At 51.7% G+C, this 6217-nt stretch overlaps 1 annotated feature.

The window, feature by feature from the left end:
* Positions 2382-2676: a silencer, noted in NCBI's record as "tiled region #1105; HepG2 Repressive non-DNase unmatched - State 22:ReprW". NCBI's record gives its function as "represses a minimal TATA promoter and a strong SV40 promoter by Sharpr-MPRA in HepG2 cells {active_cell/tissue: HepG2}" and the evidence as "EXISTENCE:reporter gene assay evidence [ECO:0000049][PMID:27701403]".

The raw sequence follows: 6217 nt of genomic DNA on the forward strand, positions 1-6217 counted from the left end.
AACTGGCATTCCCCAGCTTGGGATCTGCTAGGTGCAGAGACAAAGTGAGAGCTGGAGATGCAAAGAGAGAGTGACAGAGACCCAGAGAGGGGGACAGAGACCCAGAGGGAGAGGGAGAGAGACCCAGAAAGAGAAGGGGACAGAGATTCAGAGACAGAAGGACAGTCTTAACAGACGGGGTTGGAAATTCAAAATAGGAGACGGCAGAGAGCAGGAGAGACAGAGTGAATGAGATGGGGAAGGATTCTGGCCAGCCTGCAGGGGGGTTCTGGAGTTGGGGGGGTTCCATCCTCATTTGGGGGAGGGCCTACCCTCCTCAGCCCCTCCCCTAGCCCCTTAAATTCCCCAGTGCTTGTGTCCGTCTCTGGGCCTGGGCAGCCCCGTACCTGGACCACGTGGTGACTCAGGAGGCTGCTTGCCTCCCTTGGCTACCCCAACTGTTCCCCGGCCTCAGCCTGACTCAGCCTCCCTCCACCTCGGCACCCCCCTAGGCTGGCTCTTTGAGCTGGAGCTTGGCCTGGGTCTGTCTGTACACCTGGGGACGCACTGTCTGGGCACCTGCATCTGGAGCCACACACCCATCTCTCCCCAGGTGCCTTTCTGTGATTCCTGAACTGTTTCTGTTTAACTATGGGCCTCCCTGCTTTGAGCTGAAGGCCTTGGGAAGCCTTCCCGGCCTCCTCTGCCTTGGTTCAGGCTCGGCATCAACACAAGAACCCCCTCTTTATTTTTAAATTTTTAAATTTATTTTATTTATTTATTTATTTTATTTTTTTTTCTTTTTTTCTTTTTCTTTTTTTTTTTTTTGAGACAGAGTCTCACTCTTTAGCCCCGGCTGGAGTGCAGTGGCTCAATCTCGGCTCACTGCAACCTCTGCCTCCTGGGTTCAAGCGATTCTCCTGCCTCAGCCTCCTGAGTAGCTGGGGCTATAGGCACCCACCACCATGCCCCGCTCATTTTTTTGTATTTTTAGTAAAGACAGGGTTTCACCATGTTGGCCAGTCTGGTCTCAAACTCCTGACCTCAAATGATCCACCCTCCTTGGCCTCCCAAAGTGCAAGGATTACAGGCATGAGCCACCACACCCGTCAAGAACTCCCTCTTTTAAGAAAGGGTTCTCTTGGGACCCAGGGATGGGGTGGCAGGAGGGAGCTGCTCTGTGGTGACGAATCAGCTTTGCACTGGATGTGGCGGTGATTACACGATTCTACACATGAGATAAAGAGACACAGAAGCCCACGTGCACACACACACGTGCAAAGAAATGCGTGTGAAAAATGAACGCGCAGTGTGATCTGTAGTCTCATTAATAGTTTGGTTTCTGTGTTGATTTCCTGGTTTCCATTCTGAACGACAGTTACACAAGGTGTCGCCACGGGGAGAAGTAGGTGAGGGAGATTCCCTATGCTGTGTGTGTAGCCTCCTGTGAGTCTGTAATTATCTCAAAGGAAAAAGTTAAAAATAAAACAGAATTTCCTAGTAAACACAAGGTCTCCCTGTTCCTAAAAAGAACACCCTACTTAAGCAGAAGGCCTTGGTCAACCCCCAGGAGCCTGGGAGTGGCTCCTTCATGCCACTCTATCCCTGAGATCCAAGAGAATCCTTTCTTTAAAGGGTGGCAGGGGGGCAGGTGCTGTGGCTCACGCCTGTAATCCCAGCACTTTGGGAGGCCAAGGTGGATCACCTGAGGTTAGGAGTTCAAGACCAGCCTGGAAAACATGGTGAAACCCAATCTCTACTAAAAATACAAAAAAACTGAGCTGGGCATGGTGGTGGGTGCCTGTAGCCCCAGCTACTCAGGAGGCTGAGGCAGGAGAATCGCTTGAACCCGGGAGGCAGAGGTTGCAGTGAGCTGAGATTGTGCCACTGCACTCCAGCCTGGGTGACAGAGCGAGACTCTGTTGCAAAATAAATAAATAAACAAACAAATAAATAAAGAGGGGGTTCTTGTGTTTATGCAGAGCCTGAGCCAGGGCACAGAATGACTGGAAGGCTCCCCAAGGCCTTCAGCTCAAAGGTAGGGAGACAGCTGGAGATGCAGCTGATGAGGCCCAGTTCACCGCCGGTGGCTCCCAAGGACTTGCCGTCCCCAGCCCGGACCTCAGCACCTGCCGTGCCGTGGCCAGGTTGCTGGGCCCTCTTCCCACCACATGCTAGGTTCCCAGGGTATCTCGCTCACCACTCCACCACCTGCTTGGCACGGTCTTGTTTGCTGTGCCACGGGCATCGATAAACATCTGATGAATGAATGAACACAGAGCCTCAGTCGCTGCTCCTCTGTGAACTCACGGTCTGGTGAAACAGGCCAGCGGGGCAACAGGAAACTCCATCTGGTGTCACGTGTGCTCCCCTGGAGGAGGCTGAGGGGCTGGATGGAGCCTCAGGTGTGGGAAAGGGTTCCAGGAGGAGGGGCAGTCTTAGCAGGTTCCTGCAGATGAATAGGAGTTTGCCAGGGAGGATGGACAGTGTGTGGAGAGGGTAGGAGGGAGGTGAGTGGTTTCGAGTAGGGATGGTGGGGCAGGAGGATGGTGAGAGAGCTCAGAGCGTAGGAGAGAGGAGTGGCCAAGATGAGCAGGGCCCTGGTGCTGCAGGGGCGAGAATTTTACTCCGAGGGTGATGGGGGATGGTGGCATGATCCTGAGTAGGGGAGAGCAGAATCCTTCGGGATACTCAGGTCTGGAGCTCAGGAGAGTGATGGGGCATCACGGCACGGATGGTGCTGGATACCAGCGGTGTGGAGCCCACCTAGGGAGAGGGTATACAGTGAGAGGACCCCACTGAAGACTCACAGCTCAGGGGGTAAGAAACAGTTATGCCAGGGGTAGGAGTGATTGAAGAGCTAAGAGGGACACCAGGAGGGAGCAGTGTCAGGAAAGTTGAGAGCTTTTTTTTTTCTTTTTAAACAGGGTGTCACTCTGTTGCCCAGGCTGGAGTGCAGTGGTGCAATCACAGCTCACTGCAGCCTTGAACTCCTGGGCTCAACCATCCTCCCACCTCAGCCTCCTGAGTAGCTGGGACTACAGGCACGTGCTACCACAGTCAGTTAATTTTTGTATTTTTTTGTAGAGACAGGGTCTCACGATGTAGCCCAGGTTGGTCTCCAACTCCAGGGCTGAAGTGATTTGCCTGCCTTGGCCTCCCCAAGTGCTGGGATTACAGGTGTGAGCCACTGCGCCCAGCCAGAGAGCATTTTTTAAACGAGGGAGTGGCAGGGGCGGTCAGATGCCTCTGGAAGGAAGATAGGTGATGGGTGATTTTGGAGAGAAAGGTTTTTTGTGGTGTGGTAGGGGTGGAAGCTGGGCGGAGCAGAGGAGACCATAGGTGCGGACAGCTCTTGGGTGTGAGGGGAGGAGAAGGGTGGTTGATACTGATGGCTGTTTATAAGAAAGGAAAACCTGGATGGCACTTGGAACAAAAACAATCACTCACATGTATTCTGTGCTCAGCACAGCCAGGGACTGTGATGAAACCTTGGTTGTTTTTTTTTTTTTTTGAGATGAGTCTCAGTCTGTCACCCAGGCTGGAGTGCAGTGGCAGGATCTCGGCTCACTGCAACTTCCGCCTCCCAGGTTAAAGCAATTCTGTTGCCTCAGCCTTTTGAGTAGCTGGGACTATGGGTGCCCACCACCATGCCTGGCTAATTTTTGCATTTTTAGCAGAGACGGGGTTTCGCCATGTTGGCCAGGCTGCTCTCAAACTCCTGACCTCAGGTGATCCACCCGCCTCGGCCTCCCAAAGTGCTGGGATTACAGGCGTGAGCCACTGCGCCCGGCAGATGAGACCTTTTAAAAAATATTTAAATTTTAAGAAAATTTTACAATTTTTTATTGTTGTAAAATAAACACAGCATAGGCCAGGCGCAGTGGCTCACGCCTGTAATCCTAGCACTTTGGGAAGCCGAGGCGGGCAGATTGCCTGAGCTCAGGAGTTTGAGACCAGCCTGGGCAACACGGTGAAACCCTGTCTTTACTAAAATACAAAAGAAATTAGCTGGGCGTGGTGGCGCACGCTGTCGTCCCAGCTACTTGGGAGGCTGTTGCAGGAGAATCACTTGAAACCAGGAGGCAGAGGTTGCAGTGAGCCGAGATTATGCCACTGCACTCCAGCCTGGGCGAGAGAGTGAGACTCCATCTAAAAAAAAAAAAAGCACAAAATCAAGCATTTTAAACATTTTTAGGTACAATTCAGTGGGATTCAGCAGATTCGCATTGCTGTGTAGCCATCACTACTCTCTAACTCCCCCAGATGTTTTCATTGTCCTCAAATTCTGCACCCACTAAATGATAACTCCCTGCTTCTCCCTTCCCCAGCCCCTAGCAACAATCATTCGACTTTCTGTCTCTATGAATTTGACTACTCTAGGTCCAGGTACCTGACATAATAGGAATTGGATTTTTTTTTTTTTTTTTTAAGAGATAAGTCTTACTCTATCACCCAGGCTGGAGTGCAGTTGGTGCAGTCATAGCTCACTGCAGCCACAACCTCCTGGGCTCAAGCGATCCTCCCACCTCAGCCTCCTGAGTAGCTGGGACTACAGATGCACACCACTACACCCAGATAATTAAAAAAATATTTTGTAGAGATGGGGTCTCACTGTGCTGCCCAGGCTTGTCTTGAACTCCTGGGCCCAAGTGATTCTCCTCCCACCTCAGCCTCTCAAAGTGCTGGGATTACAGGCGTGAGCCACTGCACCTGGCCAAAAGGAATCATATGATATTTGTCCTCTTGTGACTGGCTTATTTCACTCAACCTAATGTTCTCAACACTCATCCACGTTGCAGCATGTGCCAGGATTTCTTTCCTTTTTTAAGGCTGATTGCTATTCCACTGTGTATATAGACCACATTCTGTTTAACCAGCCAAGTTCTTTATCTGGGTTAGTGTCTTCCCTTTCTTTTCCTCCCTCTTTCCCTTCATCTCTCCCTCTTCTCCCATCTGCCTTCCTTTTCTCCCCCACCTCTTTTCAGCAAATATTTATCAAGCACCTACTATGTACACCCTCATAGTTCTAGGGGATACAGCAATGAACACAATAGATACCCCTTCCAAAAAAATCTTTGCCCTACTGATCTGTATATTCTGGAAGAAAAAGAAAGGAAATAAATACGATATACGACATTACAAGTTATGAGGGTCTATGAAAAGGTGGCAGCAAGGGCTTCCCTGCAGTGGAAGGGGTCTGTAGGTTTGGGAACTGCAAGATGGTCAGTGGGGGGCCAAGTGGGTGAGGGGAGAATAGACAGTGAGGATAGTGAGGTCATGGAAAGTCTGGACTCCTCGGGAGAGGCACTAACTTGTCCCCATTTTACAGACAGGGAAACTGAGGCTGAGAGAGGAGGTGGCTTGTCCAAGGTCCCACAGCTGGTAGGTGCAGGAGGTATCAGAGACTCCAGGACTGTCCGAACCTCCGCTCCACACTGTAAACTCTTCCTTCTGTTGTCTCCCAAGGCCACTAACAAGTTCATTTGCACACCGATGTGTGTGTCCAACACGATTTGAACACATTTCACGAGAATTAACTTGCTGACACCTTCCCGTAGCCATGGGAGAGCTCATGAGTACCTCCGGTATTGTTACTCCCCTCATTGTACAGATGGAGGAAGCCAAGATGGAGATGCTCGGCCACGTGCCAAGGTTACACAACGCTGAACGGGGGCGCCGTGATTTGAACGCAGGTGGAGAGCTCTCAACCACCTCACGAAATGTTCAAGAACAAAGGAGTGGATGGTGCAACCAGCGATGTGGTGGGATTAGCCCCAGACATGGGGAAAGACTCCTCTTACATTGTTTCGGGAAGGAAGAAGGAAAGGGCAGGTCAGGTGCGGGTAGGGTGTGAGCCCGATGGCAGGAAGTCGAGGCTGGTCCGTCCTGTGGCTTGTTTCTTCCAGGGAGACGTCAGTCGGCTCATCTCAAGGGGCCTTGGTGGGTGGGGTTGGGAAGGCTGAGGGTGGTGGTGAAGGGGCCCAGGTGACGCTGAGGATCACATGTTTTAAGGGGCACCCTCTCAGCAGTTGGCGGATTTTTTTTTTCCTCCAACTTCCTGGATGTAGACAAAGAGAAGGCGCCTGCAGGACTGGGTGATGGTGGGAGGGATGCTGGGACTGGGGAGCTGAGGGTCGCCAGGGCAGAGGGGACTCTGGGGTTGCCCTTGAACTCCTGGGCTCAAGTGATCCTCCTCCCGCCTCAGCCTCTCAAAGTGCTGGGATTACAGGTGTGA

This window comes from Homo sapiens, chromosome 19 (assembly GCF_000001405.40).
Source record: "Homo sapiens chromosome 19, GRCh38.p14 Primary Assembly".
Taxonomy (NCBI): domain Eukaryota; kingdom Metazoa; phylum Chordata; class Mammalia; order Primates; family Hominidae; genus Homo; species Homo sapiens.